The sequence below is a fragment of the Homo sapiens genome, chromosome 5, assembly GCF_000001405.40.
Source record: "Homo sapiens chromosome 5, GRCh38.p14 Primary Assembly".
NCBI lineage: Eukaryota > Metazoa > Chordata > Mammalia > Primates > Hominidae > Homo > Homo sapiens.
In genome coordinates this window covers 133,997,189-134,018,356 of record NC_000005.10, presented here as the reverse complement: position 1 = coordinate 134,018,356, position 21,168 = coordinate 133,997,189, and the positions used below count along the sequence as shown (strand labels likewise).

Below are 21,168 nucleotides of genomic sequence, written 5' to 3'. Positions count from 1 at the left end.
TGAATGGCTTGGTGCCCTCCGCAAGGTAATGAGTGAGTTCATGCTCTGTTAGTTCATGCTAGAGCTGGTTGTTTGAAGGAATCTGGGTCCTCCTCCTTCTCTCCCTTGCTCCTGCTCTTGCCACATGATGTACCTGCTCCTTGTTGGCCTTCTGCCATGATTGGAAGCTTCCTCGTTAGGAGACACTCACAGGCCTCACCAGAAGCCGAGCAGATGCCCGCACCATGCTTTTTTGTGCAGCCTGCAGAAGAACCATGAGCCAGTTAAACCTCTTTTCTTTATAAATTACCCAGCCTCAGGTATTTCTTCATGGCAACACAAACACGGACTAACACAGTGTGCAACCTGCATAGAGGGGTGATAAGCCCATCTACGTCAGTCACCTGCCTTTATGCCACACGTCATTCATCATCTATTCAGTTATTTGTTTTTATTTATTTTTTTGAGACGGAGTCTCGCTCTGTTGCCCAGGCTGGAGTGCAGTGGCACAATCTCGGCTCACTGCAAGCTCCGCCTCCTGGGTTCACACCATTCTCCTGCCTCAGCCTCTCGAGTAGCTGGGACTACAGTCGCCTGCCACTAAGCCCGGCTAATTTTTTGTATTTTTAGTAGAGACGGGGTTTCACCGTGTTAGCCAGGATGGTCTTGATCTCCTGACCTCGTGATCCGCCCACCTCGGCCTCCCAAAGTGCTGGGATTACAAGCGTGAGCCACCATGCCCAGCCTATTCAGTTATTTGTTTACTCACCATTTATTATTTATTAAGTATTAGTAATACCTAAGATATGGCAGGCACTATGGAAAGAACACAAGCATGGACAAAGCAGAGCTGGTCCCTGCCCTCACGTCCTCACTCTAGCAAGGAAGCCAGAGCAAACCAATGATGAAATGCTTTTTTTTGAGATGGAGTTTCGCTCTTGTTGCCCAGGCTGGAGTGCGATGGTGTGATCTCAGCTCACTGCAACCTCCACCTCCAGGTTCTCCTGCCTCAGCCTCCCGAGTAGCTGGGATTACAGGCATGTGCCACTACGCCCGGCTAATTTTGTATTTTTAGTAGAGATGGGGTTTCTCCATGTTGGTCAGGCTGGTCTCGAACTCCTGACCTCAGGTGATCCACCCGCCTCAGCCTCCCAAAGTGGTGGGATTACAGGCATGAGCCACCGCGCCCGGCTTGAAATACTTATAAATTGCTACAAGCTATGAAGGAAACAGAGGGCTGAGCTCAGAATAAGGAAAGAGAGGAGAAAAGAATCTGTGTTAGATTTTGTGGCAGGGAAGGTAGATTGAAGAAGTTCCCGTTTAAGCAGAGGCCAGAGAATGAGAAGGCACCAGCCATCTGGGAAGAACATGCCCAGGAGAGGGGCACATGGGCCTTGCTGCCATGCCCCCTACAGACTGTGAAAGTAGAAACACAGCCCTTTCCTTGTGGCTGACATAGTCTGGTCAGGATCCAAGCTTTGCAAGTCGTGCATGGCCAGGGTCTCAGCCGTACACATCCCCTGTGCTGATGCAGTGTGTAAGCCACACAACCCTACACAGCAGGTTTGGACAGACAGTGCCTGAAAGCCAGCACCCTGTGCAGCTCTACCAGGCTGGCACCAAGATGCCAGGCCATTTTAATTGCATCTGGCCTCATCCACATTTTATTTTTATTTTTCTATTTTTCATGCTCCCTGTCCTTGCATTTGTCCACATTTTAAATAATAAAAAACAAAGTGGTGCCCGTTAGCAGAGGCCATGGTGACAGAAACTGGGACATTCTTCAAGTCCCAGCCACTTAGGCATAAATGCAAGTCAAGTGGAAGCGACAGCTCCATTTTCGGCTCGAGGAAAAACTGCTTGGGTCCACTCACTGGTGGGGTATGGAGAAGGGGTTCCATGTCCCTTGCAATACAAAGGGATCTCAGCCTAATTTTTTCCTGCTTTTCTTTAACCTTTATCAGGGACCAGAGTGTGCTGAGCAAAGGGGGAAGCCCTTGCCTTCTCAACTCAGAATTTTCTGGTAGGATTCCAGCCCCAGGCCAGTTCTTCTTACAACACCCACTCCCCATCACAGCCATGTGCACAGGCACACACAGTCCCTCTCAGAGAACGTCACAGGTACCAGCACTGGGCCCGAGTTTGCTGTACAATAATAATGAGATCTGCACTTACCCCAAATTGCAATCTGTCTTATGCAGCAAGAATCCCTGCCTCTTTCCTGATCGTTTGATTTTAATACCACACCCGGCCTCCTTTAAAAGTTGGAGGCCTCCTTTAAAAGTTGGAGGCCAGGTGTGGGGGCTCATGCCTGTAATCTTAGCACTTTGGAAAGCCGAGATGGGCAGATTGCTTGAGCTTACAAGTTTGAGACCAGCCTGGGCAACATGGCAAACCCCCATCTCTACAAAAAATACAAAAATTGCCTGGGTGTAGACGGGGCACCGTGGCTCATGCCTGTAATCCCAGCACTTTGGGAGGCCGAGGCAGGCAGATCACAAGGTCAGGAGTTCAAGACCAGCCTGGCCAATATGGTGAAACCCCGTCTCTACTAAAAATACAAAAATTAGCTGGGTGTGGTGGCGTGTGCCTGTAGTCCCAGCTACTCGGGAGGCTGAGGCAGGAGAATCGCTTGAACCCGGGAGGCGGAGGTTGCAGTGAGCTGAGATGGTGCCATTGCACTCCAGCCTGGGTGACAGAGCGAGACTCCGTCTCAAAAAATAAAAAAGTGATTCAAAAAAGAAAAAAAAAATCGTTCAAGCAATTCTCCTGCCTCAGCCCCCCGAATAGCTGGGATTACAGGTGCTCCTTACAACCTTGCCATTTGCCTTAGTTCATCCAGACTGCTATGACAAAATGCCATAGACTGGGTGGCTTATAAATAACAAAGTTATTTCTCACAGTTCTGGAGGCTGGAAGTTTAAGATCAATGTTCCAGAAGATTCAATGTGTGTTGTGGGCTTGCTCTCTGGTTCATAGATGGCACTTTATTTTTCTTTTTTCAATTTTTCTTTTAGATTCAGGGGTTACGTGTGCAGATTTGTTACAAGGGTATATTGCATGGTGCTGAGGTTTGGGGTATGATTGAACCTGTCATCCAGGTATTGAGCATAGTACCCAACAGGTAGTTTTTCAACCCTTGCCCCCCTCTCTCCCTCCCTCCCCTCTCTTGTAGTCCACAGTGTCTATTGTTCCCATATTTATGTCCATGTGTATCCAATGTTTAGCTCCCACTTATAAGTGAGAACATGCAGTATTTGGTTTTCTATTCCTGCATTCATTCACTCAGAATAATGGCCTCCAGCTGCATCCATGTTGCTGCAAAGGACATGATTTCATTATTTTTTATGACTGTGTAGTATTCCGCCATATATATGTACCATATTTTCTTTATTCCATCCACCACTGATGGGCACCTAGGTTGACTCCATGTCTCTGCTATTGTGAATCACGCTGTGACAAACCTACATGTGCATTTGTCTTTTTGGTAGAATGATTTATTTTCTTTTTTTGAGATGAAGTCTCACTCTGTTGCCCAAGTTGGAGTGCAGTGGCACGATCTTGGCTCGCTGAAACCTCCACCTCCCAGGTTCAAGCGATTCTCCTGCCTCAGCCTCCTGAGCAGCTGAGACTGCAGGCGTGTACCACCATGCCCGGCTAATTTTTGTATTTTTAGTAGAGACGGGGTTTCACTATGTTGGCTAGGCTGGTCTTGAACTCCTGACCTTGTGATCCGCCTGCCTCAGCCTCCCAAAGTGTTGGGATTACAGGTGTGAGCCACCGCACTCAGCCATGACTTATTTTCCTTTGGGTGGAATGGTAGTTCTATTTTTAGTTCTTTGAGAAATATCCAAACTGCTCTCTACACTGGCTGAACTAATTTACATTCCCACCAGCAGTGTATAAGCATCCTCTTTTCTCTGCAGCCTTTCCAACAACTATTTTTTAACTTTTTAATAATACCCATTCTGACCGGCGTGAGGTGGCACTCATTGTGGTTTTGATTTGCATTTATCTGATGATTAGTGATGATGAGCATTTTTTCATGTTTGTTGACCACTTGTATGTCTTTTTATTTTTATTTTTTTGAGACGGAGTCTCACTCTGTCATCCAGGCTGGAGTGTGGTGGCACGATCTCGACTCACTGCAACCTCCACCGCCCCGGATTCAAGTGATTCTCCTGCCTCAGCTTCCTGAGTAGCTGGGATTACAAGCGCGTGCCACCACACCTGGGTAATTTTTGTATTTTTAGTAGACTCGGGGTTTCACCATGTTGGCCAGGTTGTCTCAAACTCCTGACCTCAGGTGATCCGCCCACCTTGGCCCCCCAAAGTGCTGGGATTACAGGCGTGAGCCACCATGCCTGGCTGTATGTCTTCTTTTGAGAAGTGCCTGTTCATGTCCTCTGCCCACTTTTTTTCGGGGGGTGGGATGGGAGACGGAGTCTCACTCTGTCACCCAGGCTGGAGTGCAGTGGCACGATCTCAGCTCACTGCAACCTCCGCCTCCCGGATTCAAGTGATTCTCCTGCCTCAGCCTCCCGAGTAGCTGGGATTACAGGTGCCCGCAACCATGCCTGGCTAATTTTTGTATTTTAGTAGAGATGGGGTTTCACCATGTTGGCCAGGATGGTCTTGAACTCCTGACCTCAGGTGATCTGCCTGCCTTGGCCTCCTAAAGTGCTGGGATTACAGGTGTGAGCCACCGTGCCCAGCCCTCTGCCCACTTTTTAATGGGGGTCTTTGTTTTTTGCTTGTTGAATTGTTTACATTCCTTATAGATTCTGGATATTAGAGCTTTGTTAGATGCGTAGTTTGTAAATATTTTCTCCCATTCTGCAGGCTGTCTGTTTACTCTGTTGATAGTTTCTTTTGCTGTGCAGAAGCTCTTAAGTTTAATTAGGTCCCACTTGTCAATTTTGTTTGTTTGTTTGTTTGTTTTTGAGACACAGTCTTACTCTGTCACCAAGGCTGGAGTGCAGAGGTGCGATCATAGCTCACTGCAGCCTCGACCTCCTGGACTCAAGTGATCCTCCCACCTCAGTTTCCTGAGTAGCTGAGACTACAGGTGTGCACCACCATGCCAGGCTAATTTTTGTATTCTTTGTACAGACGGGTTTTTGCCATGTTGTTCAGGCTGATTTTTGTTTTGCTGTAACTGCTTTGGAGGACTTAGTTATTTATAAATTCTTTGCCGCGGTTGATGCCCAGGAGGGTATTTCCTAGGTTTTCTTCTAGGATTTTAATTGTTTGAAGTCTTACATTTAAGTCTTTAATCCGTCTTGAGTTAATTTTTGTATATGGTGATAGGCAGGGGTCCAGTTTCATTCTTCTGCATATGGATAGCCAGTTATTCCAGCACCATTTATTAAATAGGGAGTCCTTTCCCCATTGCTTATTTTTGTCCAACTTGTTGAAGATTAGTTGGTTGTAGGAGGGTGGCTTTATTTCTGTGTTCTCTATTCTGTTCCATTGGTCTATGTGTCTGTTTTTGTACCAGTACTATGCTGTTTGGGTTATTGTAGCCTTTTAGTATAGTTGGAAGTCAGGTAATGTGATGCCTCCAATTCTGTTATTTTTGCTTAGGATCCTTTGGTTATTCTGGCTCTTTTTTTTGTTTAATATAAATTTTATAATAGTTTTTTTTCTAATTCTGTGAAAAATGATGTTGTTAGTTTGATAGGAACAGGATTAAATCTGCAGATTGCTTTTGGCAGTATGGACATTTTAATGATATTGATTCTTCCAATCCATGAGCATGGAGTGTTTTTCCATTTGCTTGTGTCACATAGATGATGCTTTCTAACTGTGTCTTTACATGGTGGAAAGGGTGAACAAGCTCTCAGGCCTCTGCCCTAATGATAATTACATTTCAAAACCTCTGCCTTCTAATACCGTCATCTTGGGACTCAGGATTTCAACATATCAATTTTGGGAGTAAACATTCATACTATAGCCCCATTCTAATAAATCATTTCTAGAATTGTCTTTTAGAGGTTGTATATTAGTTTCCTATTGCTGTTGTAACACTTCCTATTGTGTTGTAACTGTGAACCACAGACTCAGTGGTTTAAACAACTCAGATTTATCATTTTACAGTTCTAGAGGTCAGGAGTCTGAAATCAGTCTCTCTGGGCTAAAATTAAGTGGGCATCAGGGCTCCCTCCTTCTGGAGGCCTTGGGAGGAGAATCTGTTTCCTTGTCTTTTTCAGCTTCTATAGGTTGCCTGCATTCCTTGGCTCATGGCTCCTTCTTACATCTTCAGAGCTAGCGGTGTAGCATCTCCAATCTCTCTCTTTCTTTCTTCTTTTTTTCTTTCTTTCTCTTTTTCTTTCTTTCTCTCTCTGTCTCTCTCCCCACCCCTGCCCTGCTCTGCTTCTGTCATTAAATCACCTTCTCTCACTCTGACCCTCTTGTCTTCCTCTTATAAGAACTGTAGGCCGGGCATGGTGGCTCATGCCTGTAATCCCAGCACTTTGGGAGGCTGAAGTGGGTGGATCATCTGAGGTCAGGAGTTTGAGACCAGCCTGGCCAACATGGTGAAACCTCGTCTCTACTAAAAATACAGAAATTAGCCGGGCCTGGTGGTGGGCACCTGTAATCCCAGCTACTTGGGAGGCTGATGCATAAGAATTGCTGGAACCCAGGAGGCGGAGGTTGCAGTGAGCTGAGATCACGCCACTGCACTCCAGCCAGGGTGACAGAGTAAAACTCTGTCTAAAAAAAAAAAAAAAAAAAGAACTTGTGATGACATTCTTGGGATTACATTGGGCACACTTGGATGATCTAGGACAATCCCCCCATGTCAAGATCCGTAACATCTGTATGATCTCACTTAAATGTACAATCTAGAATAATCACACTCATAGAAGCAGAGAGTACAATGGTAATCTTCAGGGCTGGAGGGAAGGGAAAATGGAGAGGTGATGATCAAAGGGTATAAGGTTTAGTTACGCCAGATAAATAAATTCTGGAGATCTATGCATCTGACAAAAGGTATAATATCTAGAATCTATAAGGAACTTAAAGAGTTCAACAAGCAAAAAAACAAATAACCCCATTAAAAAGAGGGCAGAGGGGGCTGGGCGCAGTGGCTCACACCTGTAATCCTAGCACTTTGGGAGGCTGAGGCAGGCAGACTGCCTGAGCTCAGAAGTTTGAGACCAGCCTGGGCAACATGGCAAAATCCCATCTCTACTAAAAACAAAGAAAAAAATGTGGGCAGAGGACATGAACAGGTGCTTCTCAAAAGAAGACATACAAGTGGCCAAGAAACATATTAAAAAATGTTCATCATCACTAATCATCATCTACTATACATCACAGTGCCTACAGCTAACAATACTGCACTGTATACTTAGATTTGCCAAGAGGATAGATCTTAAGTGCCCCTACAAAAAAAAAAAAAGGGAATGGGGGTAGGGGAGGAAACTTTGGGAGGTGTTGGGTATGTTTATATGCTTTACGGTGGTGATGGTTTCATGGAAATATACTTATCTCCAAACTCATCAACATATATATATTAAATATGTACAGCTTTTTGTATGCAATCCTATCCCAATGAAGTAGTTTTTGTTTTGTTTTGTTTGTTTTTTACATTCACAGGTTCCAGTGAGTAGGATGTGGATATCCTTGGGGGGCCATTGTTGTACTTACCATAGTTTGCCTCCACAGTTTTTAATGTTGGGGTTGAAGTAATACTGAACATAGATTGCCTTCCATTAACATTGTAACAGAAATATTTCCCCACAGGAAATTTGTTGTTGTTGTTGTTGTTTTGAGACAAAGTCTCGCTCTTGTCCCCCAGGCTGGAGTGCAATGGTGTGATCTCGGCTCACTGCAACCTCTGCATCTCGGGTTCAAGCCATTCTCCTGCTTCAGCCTCCCGAGTAGCTGGGATTACAGGCGCCTACCACTATGCCTGGCTAATTTTTGTATTTTTAGTAGAGGCAGGGTTTCATCATGTTGACCAGGCTGGTCTCAAACTCCTGATCTCAGGTGATCTGCCCGCCTCAGCCTCCCAAAGTGCTGGGATTACAGGTGTGAGCCACCACGCCCGGACCCCCACAGGAAGTTTTTGTAACCATATTTCCTCAAGGTTGTGAGTGATTCAATATGCCCAAGCTGGAAACCAGGTTGTGTTCCGTCCTGGGCTGCTGTCCATTTTCCTGCAGCAGGCATTCCCCATACTTACAATGATGGTCTTAGCGTGGGTTCCCAGCATCAAGGGGGGTGGAATAGGATTATGATTCTGATCGCATATAGCCTAATTGCTTTTCAGAAGGATTGTATCACTTTACACATCTCCTGATGAACCTCATATGACTTTCTTAAAGCTGAAAAAAGTTCGCTCTTTTTATAATCAAGGTATTATGTCCTCATTAAAGCATATTTGGAGGCTGGGCCTGGTGGCTCATGCCTGTAATCCCAGCACTTTGGGAGGCCAAGACAGGTTGATTACTTCAGGTTAGGAGTTTGAGACCAGCCTGGCCAACGTGGCAAAACCACATCTCTACTAAAAATACAAAAATTAGCCAGACGTGGTGGCACGCACCTGTAGTCACAGCTACTTGGGAGGCTGAGGCATGAGAATAGCTTAACTCGGGAGGTGGAGGTTGCAGTGACCCGAGATGGTGCCACTGAACTCCAGCCTGGGTGACAGAGGGAGACTCTGTCTCAAAAAACAAAACAAAACAAAACAAACAAACAAAAGAATATTTGGGAAATGTAAAAAGAGCCAAAGGAAAAAATCACTCATAGTCTCATAAATAGAAACACAACTTAATAATTATGTTTCAATTTATAAGAATTGATCAATTCTGGCTGGGTGCAGTGGCTCACACCTGTAATCCCAGCACTTTGGGAGGCGGAGGCCGGCAGATCACAAGGTCAGGAGTTTGAGACCAGCCTGGCCAACATGGTGAAACCCCATCTCTACTAAAAATACAAAAATTAGCTGGGCATGGTGTCGTGTACCTGTAATCCCAGCTACTTGGGAGGCTGAGGCAGAATTGCTTGAACCAGGACCTGGGAGGCGGAGGTTGCAGTGAGCCAAGATCATGCCACCGTACTCCAGCCTGGGCTACAGAGAGAGACTCCATCTCAAAAAAAAAAAAAAAAAAAAAAAAAAGAATTGATAAATTCCCATAAATACTTCATTAATACTTAATACATTTCTTTCCAATATTTGTCTCTCTGTGTATATATATACAAAATTCTTAAAAATCATAGCTATGATGTTGGAGCTTCTTGGAATTGTTTTAGATTAGATCTAGGACACCTCATGTTTTGGGATATGCAGGAGAATATTATCAATTGTGTTTACCTTGGGATGCTTTCTGTCCTGTTTCCCCAAGAGATTACTGCTGTCACTCAGAACCTGGAGGCCCAGCTGGGTCCTTCCCTGGATGCTGAGTGTCAGGGCACAGTGTGGGGAGTGTGGCCTGAGATCCTTGACCACAAACACGCCATCTTGATTCTTCCTACCCAGACTCTAGTCTGAGGAGTTCACTGGAAAATGATTGGAAAGTTAGGTTTTATGACAATGCAACTTTATAATCCAATTAATTGATGCTGGTTACAAGCAGAATATCTTTCTCTTTAAAAATTAATTTACATAAATGACTACCATTTCTGCCTTCATGAACTTCATCTTCAAGCTCTGGTACTTAGCACAGACAATGCTAAGAAACCACATAGAAATCCAGGGACATCTGGCTCTGAAAAGAGAAGAGTTGGGAGTGTTTCATCCTATGTTCTTGAAAGGGGGGTGGAATAGGTTTATGATTCTGATCATAAATTGGCTGCTTTCCACTTTGATAAATATCTACAGTAGAAGCCCTAAGGCTGTAAGTTAGAGATAAGACAAAAACCAAAAACTCCCTAAAATGAAATAGTCTTACATTGGTAACCCATTCCAATATTAACAATGAAAGAAAAATCTCATTTTCCCTGGATGTTTTACATTGTTCTTCTTGAATGGAGGAGAGGAACTGAGTTAGCATCTGGAAGAAAACAATCCAAACTGGACTAGGCAAAACAGGAGGCCGTTGGCTCAGGCAGCTGGTAAGTACAGGGTGTAGTCTCCGGCATGGCTAGATTCAGGACCTCATCTCTGCCTTTCTCTTATGGGCTTACTTCATTTTCAGGGAGTCTTTATTCCTGTAGCCCCAGGAATTCTCATCTGGTCTCATTGGTCCATCCCTGCGGGGCGGGGATCGGGGGCGGTGGGAGGCCAGGATGTGGGGGCGGAGAGGCGGGGGCAGGAGAGGTATACAGGGCTCTAATTGGTCAGACTGGGCCATGTGGCCACTCCCAGGAAGGCTTTGGAGTCAGGGATGGAGTCAGCTCCATGAAAGCTTGCTGACCAAAAGGAGAGGGAAACAGGGTCATTCGCCCAGAGAAAAACTGAGGTTAGGATTGTCCTGTCCCCACAAACCTCCTTCTCCACCCACCAAGATTTGACTGTCTTCGCCAGGGACTTGCTCTAGCTGGGTCAAGCTCAAGTGGGGTTATTGAAGTGGAACAGGGAAACCCACGCATGGCAAGAACAGGGGGGCACTCAAGGAACAGGGGCCCAGAGCCACCCTCTGCAGCGGCTGCTCCATTCTCTGTTCTGTGAAAAGCCCTCGTTAACTTCGCAACACCGACAGGGATGCCAGACCCAGGTCTCCCCAAGGGCCTTGAAAGCTCCCGCATTTTCCCCTCTGCCATACTCATCCCTGGGTTTCTCAGTTCAGGTTTGCAAGAGAGGATCTGATTGACCTGGCTTGGGTCAGGGGCCCAACCCTGACCCAATCAGCTGTGGCAGATGGAATGGAGGTGGGGCTCAGGGGGTTTCCCCTCTCCCTCAGGGTTGTGGTGGGTCAATGGATTCTAGTGATTATGGCACCTGCAGATCTCAGCTGATTTTGTTTTTTAAAAAATTACTAATACTATTTCTTGAGACGGGAACTTGCTCTGTGGTCCAGGCTGGAGTGCAGTAGTGGGATGCTAGCTCACTGCACCCTCGAACTCCTGGCCTCAAGCCATCCTACCTCCTTGGCCTCCCAAACAGTTGGGATTACCCACATGTGCCTCTGAGCCTGGCCCAGTTACTGATGAGTGCCTACTCTTTTTTCTTTTTTTTTTTTTTTGGCAGAGTTTCGCTCTTGTTGCCCAGACTGGAGTGTGATGGTGAGATCTTAGCTCACCGCAACCTCCGCCTCCTGGGTTCAAGCAATTCTCCTGCCTTAGCTTCACGAGTAGCTGGGATTATAGGCATGTGCCACCATGCCCGGCTAATTTTTGTATTTTTAGTAGAGACGGGGTTTCTCCATGTTGGTAAGGCTGGTCTCGAACTCCCGACCTCAGGTGATCCAGCCGCCTCAGCCTCCCAAAGTGCTGGGATTACAGGAGTGAGCCACTGCACGGGGCCGAGTGCCTACTCTTTATGTGTCCCATTTTAAACTTACACCAACACTCTGAAGCTGAGGCTCTTAGAGGCCAGCCTTCTTGCCTGGGTCACGCAGCCACTAAGTGAGTGGTTAATCTGAAACTAGCACCTAGGGGAGCTGGCGAAGGGGCCCAGGGTAGCAGAGGCCATGAAGAACTCTTTCCAAGTTGTTGTTTTTTTTTGTTTTTTTTTTTTGGGGGGGGGGGACAATGTCACTCTGTCAGTCAGGCTGGAGTACAGCGGCTCAATCTCAGCTGACTCCAGCCTCCTCCTTCCAAGTTCAAGCGATTCTCGTGCCTCAGCCTCCTGAGTAGCTGGGACTACAGGCGCGCGCCACCACGCCCGTCTAGTTTTTGTATTTTTAGTAGAGACAGGGTTTTGCCATGTTGCCCAGGCTGGTCTCGAAGTCCTGGCCTCAAGTGATCTGCCTGTCTCGGCCTCCCAAAGTACTAGGATTACAGGCTTGAGCCACTGCACCCGGCCCAGATTGGTTCTTTAAAGCGGAGTTGAGAGGTGGCGCTGGAGGGGAGGAAGCCCTTCGACATTTGCTCCCAGCCTCAAAACTGGGTTGCACCGGCATCTGTTCCTAGCCCTGTGGGGTTCCTGGAGCCCCGCCTTGTCCCGCCCGGCCTCCCTGAGTTCTTGTCCTCCCCCTGCCCACCAGTCTCAGTGTGCGGGGTGGGGACCACCAGGCTGGGAAGCCCAGAGTTCCCAGGCAACTCGTGCGCCTGGGAGGGTCATAGAATCCGTCCTACACTCCTCAGGATCTTGAAGGGGGCTCTTCCTTACATTCCCAGTCACCCCTCCCCCAGCCCCTACACAGGGCCTAGGTAACCTGTCTGCACCCCACTCCCACTCTGTATCAGCTGCCCTCTTCCTCAGCACCCTATCCCACTGGAGCACCTTTTCCAACTCCAGTCGCCACTTTTAATCTGCCGCCTTTTCCCAGCAGCCAGTCCTGATTGCCTCCTCCGTAGCCCCAGTTGCCCACTGCTTTAGATAGTGTCGCAGCTGGCTGTGAGGAGTGTCCTGATTCTGTAACCCGGCACCTCCTCCACAGGGCCCTAGACGCCTCAAGCCTTCCAGGACGTTTGTTGATCAAAGGCGAAGGATGTGTAGAATCTTCGTCCATCTACGAATTAATTCTCGAAACCTGCTTCGAGTGGGCCTCGCGCGTAACACAGGGGACACTCAGTGGTGAACGAGACCACTCGCTTAGGCCTAGCAGCGAGGTGACCGTTCACTCAACACACACTAACTGGGTCCCGCAGGACACGCCCCGGCTGGTCGCGGGGGTTACCCGGGGTGCCCTCAGTCGGCCGGCCGGCCATAACCGGCGTGATCTCCTCGCGCCGAGAGACCCAGCAGGGACCTCGCAAAACCCAATCCACGTTTTGTTTTATTTTGTCTTTTTGCCTCTCAAATGCATGGAAATTGGCTGCTAGTAGCTTTGCTACAGGAGAAAATCGCTAATCTGTAGTGCAAAATCGGCGCACAGGGGTTTTCTCTGAGATTGTCTAGACGCCGCGCGGGCGGGTCGGAGGCGCCAGACACATTGTATCCGGAGCGCGGAGCTCGGGAGCAACAGTCGCCGCCTCTACTCTGTATCTGCGCCGCCCCAGGCGCCCAGTGTCCGCGCTGGGCCTGGGACTGCCCTCGGGGGATGGGGCCCACGCGGGCTTTGATGGGGGGCCGGGGGCCACTTTGTCCACCCAGGCGAGGCTTGGGTCCAGCGCCGGCCACATCAACTCCCGGGGGATCTAGCAGCGCGGAGGCCAAGCAGGAGGCCCAGGAGCCCCGCGCGTCTTCCATTAGCGCAGGGACCTCCGGGCCACAGCTCAGAGAATCGGAAGGCCTCCTCCCCCTTCCCGAGCGCTGCCACTGGGGCCGAGGTTTCCAGCAAGAACCCGCGTGTCCCTGCGCACGCACACACGGTGCACACGTCAGTCCGGCGCCTCCCCGTGCCCCGACTCACGCAGGTCCTCCCGCGCGCCCGCAACACGCCCGCAGGCTCCTGTGTCTGCTGCCGGGGCAGCGGGGCCCGGAAGGGTAAGAACGCGGCTCGCTAGCGGGATGGGGACCCTGGCCCGGCCTGGACGCTGTCCCGGGCGGGGCCTGGGGGCGGAGCGCGCCGGGCCGGGCGCGCAGGAGGGGAGGCGGGTCCGCGCCGCCGCCGTCCGCGCCGCCCCGCCCTTGGCCCAGCCGCTCGCTCGGCTCCGCTCCCTGGCTCGGCTCCCTGCCTCCGCGTCGCAGCCCCCGCCGTAGCCGCCTCCGAGCCCGCCGCCACATCCTCTGAGGTAGGCGCAGCGGAAAAGGACCCCGGCTTCCTTGCGCCCTGGACGGCGGGGGCCAGGCCCCTGGGGAGCTGAGAGGGAGGCGCTGAGGGAGGAGCGGGCGAGGGGCCCCGGCAGCCCGGCCGCGGGGAGGGATCGCGAGCGGCCGGCGCGGGCCTGGCTGGTGAGCGGGCGGGCAGAGAAGGCCGCACAGGCGGGTGCCGAACAGGTCTGGGCTGGGGAGCGCGAGGCCGAGGGTCCAGAGACGCCTGCGGCTGGCGGCGAGAGGCGGCCCGGGCTTGCGGGCGGAAGTGCAAGGGCGGCCGCGTGGAGGCCCGGCGGGCCGCGCGTCTAGGTGACCTTCCCCGGCGGCGCCCTCTGGCCCTGGATCCCACCAGCGTGCATCCGGCGGGGACCCGTTCGCCGCCCACGCTCGCCGGACCAGGCCAGCGGGCGGGTGCCGGCCACGCTGCCGCCTCGGGGATGAGCTCACGTGACGACCGTGGCCCCGAGTCCCCAGGCCCACGCGCCCTGGCCGGCCCACGCCCGCAGAAGCTGGCGCCCGGCACCGCCCGCCTGTGCCAGAGCCTTCTAGAGCGGAACGCGCCGGCCGAGAGTCGACTTAGGCGGTAGAGGCCGGAGCTCGGGCCTGGGCTGAAGGTTTGGCCTCGGAAAAGGAGGCCCCACGGGGAAGGATGTGGCCTTCTTGGTCTTAGGAGTGATTACTGGTTCGGTCGTTCATTCATTCGCCAAATGCGGCGGTGCATTCTGGAAACTGTTTCGGAGCCTGACTTTGGATTAGAGGCCCGCAGTCTTAGTGGTTTGTACAAGGTCACACAGCTGGGAAGTCCCCATACCTTCGTTTTCTCATCTATAGGACGGGAGCAATTGTACCTCTCCTTCGATGAGTTTTGGGGAATAATAAAATGAATTAATTAGCATGAAACCTTTAGAACAGTGCCGGTGTGGAGAAGGGCTAAGTAGAAACCCTGACACCCTTGGGGCTTTTTGGGTGAATCCAGCCCATCCCCCGCAGACCATTTTGCTACACGTGGCGTTGTGGAAGGGGTTCAATAAATGTAGCTCCTGTTTTTAAACATTCTTTCACTATTATTGACAAGCATTTGTATACCAGGTATTGAGTAACTTTCAGCTTAATTTATGAAAAATCTTGTAAGTTTACAAATGGACATTGTCAAGCTGGAGCAGTAAGTTTGCATGTGGAGATCTTGAATGCAGGAGCAGACCCTGGTTTAGAGCCCGTTCCGCCCGGGGTCCCTGTCCCCTTGACTAGCCTCCCCTCTCCTGGGGAGATAGGGGAAAGGGCTCCTCTGTTGCCTAAACTTCTCCACTGAGGCAGGAGAAGGCCAGAGCAGACTACCGAGGGCCAGCCTTCATTCTGCCCACCCCAGCTCTGGACCAACTCAGCTCCTAAGGGTCAGACTGAGGCACTGAGGCCCTGTGCTACTTTGTCTTCAGTGCCTGGGGTGGTGCTGCCTGGCACACAGTAGGTGCTTGAGAAGGGTCTGTGGGGGTAAATGCACTCTTGTGTCAGAATCCACCCATCTTTACTGACAGAGTTTTACTATTCCAGTACATGGCCCATAGTAGGTGCTTATTGAGTATTTGTGGAATTATTGAATGGGCATATGAAGGGCTGCAGGCCCAGACCATAGTCCTTTGATCCTGGACTTTTTTTTTTTTTGAGACAGGGTCTTGCTCTGTTGCCAGGTCTGGAGCGCGGTGGCACCATAACGGCTCATGGCAGCTTCTGTTTCCTGGGTTCAGGCAATCCTCCCACCTCAGCCTCACAGAGTATCTGGGATCCCAGGCACACACCACCACGCCTGGCTAATTTTTGTATTTTTAGTAGAGTCGGGGTTTCACCATGTTTGCCAGGCTGATCTCAAACTCCTGGCCTCAAGCAATCCACCCGCCTCCGCCTCCCAAAGTGCTGGGATTACACGCGTGAGCCACCATGCCCGGTCCTGGACATCCTTTTGAGGGACACAGACATCTCACTTGTGGAAAACAGCCTCACCTAGCAGAGAGTCACAAATATTTAAAGAACTGTAACAGTATGTATAGTCTCTTGAAATAAGTGCTTTAAACACATCGTCTTCATTCTCTGGTTTTCCAAGTCCCGAGGGAAACTTGTTGAACTGGTGTTTCTGGGCTTGCAGGGAGGGTGACATGGGTGACTGGGATTCTACAGAAGGTGTTGGGCCTGTTACCCCTTCCCTCATGGTGGGTGGATGGACAGCTTGTGCTGGGGTTGTCCTGAGTAGGGTGCCTGCCTGTGGGTAGTGGGGACTACTCCTTGTTGATTATTTAGTTTTATTTTTGCTATTCTAGAGTGGGGCTATAGGCAGGGGTTATTCGTAGCTCAGAAAGTGGGGGACCATACAGGGATGAGGTGCCTGTGGGCCCCTGGCCTTGCTGAACACTAGGCAGGTGTGGACAGTGAACTCCATGCTGGGGAGGTGAAGGGCATCCAACCTCTACCCTTACCAGGAAGATGCTCCTGAAGCACTGAAGTCCACTTCGCCTTTGATGGAATTTCCCGTGGTGTAGTGTCTTCGGTGGTAGTGACTGGAAGAGGCGCATGTGTGGTTGAGGACCAGCCGAAGCTTGGAGGCAGCCCCTCCTGGTGCTCAGAGATTCTGTAGTCTGCGGCTTTGGGTTTTCCATGGAGTCCTGTGGTAGCCACTGAGAAAAGTTGACCAGTGGGCTCCTCAGCTGGGTCTGGGCGCATTTCTCCATTTTACCACGTACTCAGGGGGTTTGGGATGAGTGGGACTTTAAGTTCTTTACTCAGAACTGTGCTGGAAAGAGCACTGGAGAGTAGCTTAGGCCCATAACACAGGTCTGGTGAGCCATAGGGTCGGTCTCATACAGGTCAAGTCACTGTCTTGTGCCTCAGTTTCTCTCTCTCTTTTTTTTTTTTTTTTTTTTAGATGGAGTCTCACTCTGTTGCCCAGGCTGGAGTGCAGTGGTGCAATCTCGGCTCCCTGCAATCTCTACCTCTCGGGTTCAAGCAAGTCTCTGCCTCACCCTCTCGAGTAGCCGGGATTACAGGCGCCTGCCACCATGCCTGGCTAATTTTTTTGTATTTTTTAGTAGAGATGGGGTTTCACCATCTTGGCCAGGTTGGTCTTGAACTCCTGACCTCCTGATCCACCCGCCTCGGCCTCCTAAAGTGCGGGGATTGCAGGTGTGAGCCACTGAGCCCGGCCGAGTTTGTCTGCTATAAAAGTATGATTGTCGTCATTACAGTGATTGCTGATTGAGGGCTTGCTCAGCACCTTTCTGGGGGCTCAACGAATGTTCTGTGATGTTGAGTTCACCACCCTATACCCTGGGAGAGAGATAGTGTGTTTCCATTTCACAGGTCAGCAGACTCGAGCACAGAGAGGTGAGGTAACACAGCCTGGCAGGAGTGGAGTTGGGATTCAAGGCCTGGTCTGAATGGTGGTGCTCTCACATTGCAGTTGCACTCCAAGGGACCCTTGCAAGGTGCTAACAGATGTGAATGCCTTTTGGAAAGTCAAAATTGGTGTTCAGATGGGAGACATTATTTTTCCACACCAGTCAGAGTGAACTTGTGCATGGCTGTGTGCGGGCCAACTGGCAGTGGACAATGGAGTCACCTCTATTTCTTGCAAGGACAGTGGTGCTGAGTGTCTATTATAAGGGTCCGTTTTCCCTGGGATCTGGTGGGAGGCATTCTTTCAGGACCTGTTCAGCTAAACAATGCCTCATTGTGGACATGAAGGACTCTGGACCCTGTGGTTCAGGGTGACCTTTTGAACATGCTTAGCAGCCATTATTATAATAAATATACAAAATGAAAACTTGTGATAAAATACTGTGTGTATTCCCTGCTTACCAAGCGCCAGCCACTGTACCAAGTGTTGTATATTAACGAGCTAATTCAGTCCTCACAGTGACGCCATCCAGGCTCTCTTTCTCCATATTAGAGCTGAAGAAAAAGGAGTAGAGAGGTTGCGACTTGCCCAAAGTCACATACCTAGAAAGTGGTGGGGTGGGTTAGAACTCAGGTCTATTTGATTCCCGAGGCTTCCTGCCCAAGCACTGTCTGTCTCAACCCTACCTGGTCAAGCCAAGCAGTGAGGCTCCAGGGAACTTGAGGTGCCTTAGGTCAGGTAGGAGCCCCAGGTATGCCTGGGATCCAGACCATAGTGTACTGGCTGCCAGCGCAGGCCATCTCCCCTTGATAGGTGGGTGGGCAGGCTGCCCTGAGTCAGCAACCTCTTGAGCCCAGGAGCTCAGCATGGAACTCAGCTGTGCTGGTGGTGGCCCAGCTGCCAGGGTGTTTCAAAATAGAAGCTACCCCTGGAAAGCTCTACTGCCCACTGCGAGACTGTTGTGGAAGAATGGAGGGAGAGAACAGCTGCATTGGGTACGCAGACCTGCTACCAGAACACAGGGCCATCAGCCTTTGCCAGCATCCTGGAGCTTGAACCAGGAACTGTTCCCCTGGGTTGTTTCTTCCTGGCAAGAAAGAGAAAGTGCTGGAGTGTGTGTGTGTGCATGCGTGCATGTGTGTGAGCGAGCTGCTGATTGTGTTCGCCCCCATGTTGGCTTTTAGAGCTAGGGTTGCCTTCTGCTGGGGAAGTTGCTTTTCCTGGTCCTCAGGGCTAGGAAGAGGTGCTGTTTCTGTGATCACTGGCTGGTCTGATACCCCTCCTATAGGCTGGCCTAGTTCTGCCCTGACAAACCACCTAGAATGGTGTTGGTGAAACAGCGGGGCCAGAGACTTTTCCATAGTACTCTCTTCCTTGGCAGAATCATAAGATGATGGCAATGATGATGATGATGGTTGTGATTGCTCTGTTGGTTAGCGTCTTTGCAGGGATCTGGTGCACACTTACACTTGGTAATCCAGGAGAGTTTAATGAAGACATCATTTGCAAAGCTGTGGATGGGGTGTCAGGTCTGGTCTGTTAACACCCTGAGGCCTACAAGAGAGGGAGCTTCTTGGCAGGAGCTGTGGCCTTGGGTAGAGGAAGGTAGTCATTGCCCATCTGAAGCCTAGCAGGGAGGGAGACTCGGGGTGAGTACCCCGACTTCATTCTTCCCTAAACTCCCGTCTTCTGCAAGTACCTCACGTTGAAAGGCTAAGCCCAATCATAAGCCCATGGACAGCAGTCCATAATGATCAGTTCTGGGGGCACAGAGCAGGGTGGAAGGGAGGAGAATGGATCTGGAGGGGCAGACAGAGTATCCAGTGTAGTGGATTATGGTTATTACTGCCATTTGTTGAACACTTACTCCATGCCAGATACTTCTGCTGTTCTGCCTGTTTCACTCATTCCTTGTAACAACTTCCTTAGGCCTAAGGCCTTTCCTCCCAGCTGTTTTTAGCTGAGTCTTGGAGACCCATGGCCACCCTGCTCCCTGTATCAACCATTGCAGTAGTTGTTGGCTCTCTAGGGGTGCAAAGCTCATCTGCCTGAATCCTTCTATTATTACTATTTATTTCTTTTTATTTTTTATTTAAAAGAGACAGGGTCTCACTGTATTGCCCAGGCTGGTCTCGAACTCCTGCATTCAGGCGATCCTCCTGCCTCAGCCTCCCAAAGTGCTGGGATTAGAGGCGTGAGCCACCATGCCTGGCACATGCCTGAATCCTTTTGAGGGAGCCTCTGCAGAGAAGAGAGCATATTTCTACCAGGCGGGGGCCTGGTAGGTGCTTAGTGCAGGAACCGCCCTGAGCTGCTGCTTCTCAGTGGCACCTGGGGGCAGCCCTGCCTGTTAGGCACAGGCTGAGAGGTAGGGCAGGAGGAGTTCCATCTCTTCTGGCAGGCTCTTCTTGAACAAGCGCCTCCGGTGATTCTTGTGCACCCTGAAGTTAGGGAGCTCTTTCCTGCTCATGATTTCTGGCAGGGTGGCCAAGCCACTAGTGGTCACCTGGGAGTGAAATGTGCCCCGACGGACCTTGCCTGATAACTCTTCCATCTCAGTGTAGTTTAAATCTGTTCTTGCAATCTGTATGGACACTCTAGGTAGCCTTCTGGCATTGCTACTGCAGCAGCCTTGGAACGTGATTTGGGACACAACACAGCTCAATTTCAGGCACAGTGGTTGGCTTTTAAAGTGCTGTTTTTTTGGAGAGGGAGTCTCTCGCTCTGTCACCCAGGCTGGAGTGCAGTGGCACGATCTTGGCTCACTGCAGCCTTTGCCTTTGGGTTCAAGTGATTCTCATGCCTCAGCCTCCCAAGTAGCTGGGATTACAGGCACTTACCACCACGCCCGGCTAATTTTTGTATTGAAATTCTTTATCCTTAAACAAATTATTAGTATACACAAACAGCTTAAATAATGAAGCAGAACAAAAAATGAAAATTCGATTTGAAGTGCATTCCTTCCCTAAACCTCCTTCTCCAGAAGCGTATCTAAGCCAGCCCCAATTTGCAGATTGGCTTGTATCCTTCCACATGCTTTCCCATCCATTCATGAACATAGAAAGATGTGTAAAAAGGTTTTCCTCCAATTACATGGAATTACAAATTTTCTGACTTTTTTCATTTAACTGTATCATAGCTAGCTAGCTTTCTTTCTTTTTTTTTTTTTTGTTTCGAGACGGAGTTTTACTCTTGTTGCCCAGGCTGGATTACAATGGCGCGATCTCAGCTCACCACAACCTCCACCTCCCAGGTTGAGGCAATTCTTCTGCCCCAGCCTCCCGAGTAGCTGGGATTACAGGCATGCGCCACCACGCCTGGCTAATTTATTTTGTATTTTTAATAGAGACAGGGTTTCTCCATGTTGGTCAGGGTGGTCTCGAACTCCTGACCTCAGGTGACCCGCCCACCTCGGCCTCCCAAAGTGCTGGGATTACAGGCATGAGCCACTGCGCACGGCTATCGTAGCTTCATAGCTAGCTTTCTATGCCACCACATACATCCACCTTATTCTTTTTTTTTTTTTTTTTTTTTTGTGAGACAGTCTCGCTCTGTCATCCAGGCTGGAGTGCAGTGGCATGATCTTGGCTCACTGCAACCTCTGCCTCCTGGTTTAAGCTTGTGCCTCAGCCTCTCAAGTAGCTGGCATTACAGGCGTGCACCATCACACCTGGGTGATTTTTTTTTTTTATTTTTTTTTTATTTTTAGTAGAGACGGGGTTTTGCCATGTTGGCCAGGTTGATCTGGAAGTCCTGGCCTGAAGTGATCCGCCCACCTCAGCCTCCCAAAGTGCTGGGATTACAGGCATGAGCCACCCACCTTATTCTTTTTGATTACCATATGGTACTCCTTAGTTTGCAAGTATAGTACCTTAATTTTTATTCATTCATTTTCCTTTTGATGGACTTTTAGGTTGCTTCTGGGTTTTGTGTTACAAATACTGCTGCAGTGAGCATCCTCATATACACATCTTTGAGTAGTGCCTTGGTTGCTACAGTGGGGCAGGTTCCTAGAAGTGGAATTGCCACTAGGGTTAATGCTGGGTTAATTGCT

The 21,168-nt window shown here is 49.8% G+C and overlaps 1 protein-coding gene across 20 annotated transcripts in view, besides 8 other annotated features; it reads left to right on the top strand.

The window, feature by feature from the left end:
* VDAC1 (voltage dependent anion channel 1) overlaps positions 1-21,168 on the top strand; it is a 142,670-nt gene that overhangs the window by 96,184 nt on the left and 25,318 nt on the right. For 10 of the 20 annotated variants that reach the window (NM_001401029.1, NM_001401026.1, NM_001401032.1 and 7 more), the window contains exon 1: positions 13,589-13,710. The exons of 6 other annotated variants lie outside the window; for them this stretch is intronic. The gene's annotated coding sequence lies outside the window, so the exon portion shown is untranslated. Of the gene's footprint in view, positions 1-13,381; positions 13,463-13,588; positions 13,711-13,822; positions 13,871-21,168 lie in introns of those variants that run through there. 4 more of the 20 variants (NM_001401018.1, NM_003374.3, NM_001401022.1 and 1 more) reach the window with 2 other exon arrangements.
* Positions 12,539-12,608: an enhancer, noted in NCBI's record as "active region_23117". NCBI's record gives its function as "activates an Ori minimal core promoter by ATAC-STARR-seq in GM12878 lymphoblastoid cells {active_cell/tissue: GM12878}" and the evidence as "EXISTENCE:reporter gene assay evidence [ECO:0000049][PMID:35858748]".
* Positions 12,649-12,708: an enhancer, noted in NCBI's record as "active region_23116". NCBI's record gives its function as "activates an Ori minimal core promoter by ATAC-STARR-seq in GM12878 lymphoblastoid cells {active_cell/tissue: GM12878}" and the evidence as "EXISTENCE:reporter gene assay evidence [ECO:0000049][PMID:35858748]".
* Positions 12,779-12,898: an enhancer, noted in NCBI's record as "active region_23115". NCBI's record gives its function as "activates an Ori minimal core promoter by ATAC-STARR-seq in GM12878 lymphoblastoid cells {active_cell/tissue: GM12878}" and the evidence as "EXISTENCE:reporter gene assay evidence [ECO:0000049][PMID:35858748]".
* Positions 13,069-13,118: a silencer, noted in NCBI's record as "silent region_16351". NCBI's record gives its function as "represses an Ori minimal core promoter by ATAC-STARR-seq in GM12878 lymphoblastoid cells {active_cell/tissue: GM12878}" and the evidence as "EXISTENCE:reporter gene assay evidence [ECO:0000049][PMID:35858748]".
* Positions 13,159-13,218: a silencer, noted in NCBI's record as "silent region_16350". NCBI's record gives its function as "represses an Ori minimal core promoter by ATAC-STARR-seq in GM12878 lymphoblastoid cells {active_cell/tissue: GM12878}" and the evidence as "EXISTENCE:reporter gene assay evidence [ECO:0000049][PMID:35858748]".
* Positions 13,279-14,318: a silencer, noted in NCBI's record as "silent region_16349". NCBI's record gives its function as "represses an Ori minimal core promoter by ATAC-STARR-seq in GM12878 lymphoblastoid cells {active_cell/tissue: GM12878}" and the evidence as "EXISTENCE:reporter gene assay evidence [ECO:0000049][PMID:35858748]".
* Positions 14,549-14,598: an enhancer, noted in NCBI's record as "active region_23114". NCBI's record gives its function as "activates an Ori minimal core promoter by ATAC-STARR-seq in GM12878 lymphoblastoid cells {active_cell/tissue: GM12878}" and the evidence as "EXISTENCE:reporter gene assay evidence [ECO:0000049][PMID:35858748]".
* Positions 14,609-14,658: an enhancer, noted in NCBI's record as "active region_23113". NCBI's record gives its function as "activates an Ori minimal core promoter by ATAC-STARR-seq in GM12878 lymphoblastoid cells {active_cell/tissue: GM12878}" and the evidence as "EXISTENCE:reporter gene assay evidence [ECO:0000049][PMID:35858748]".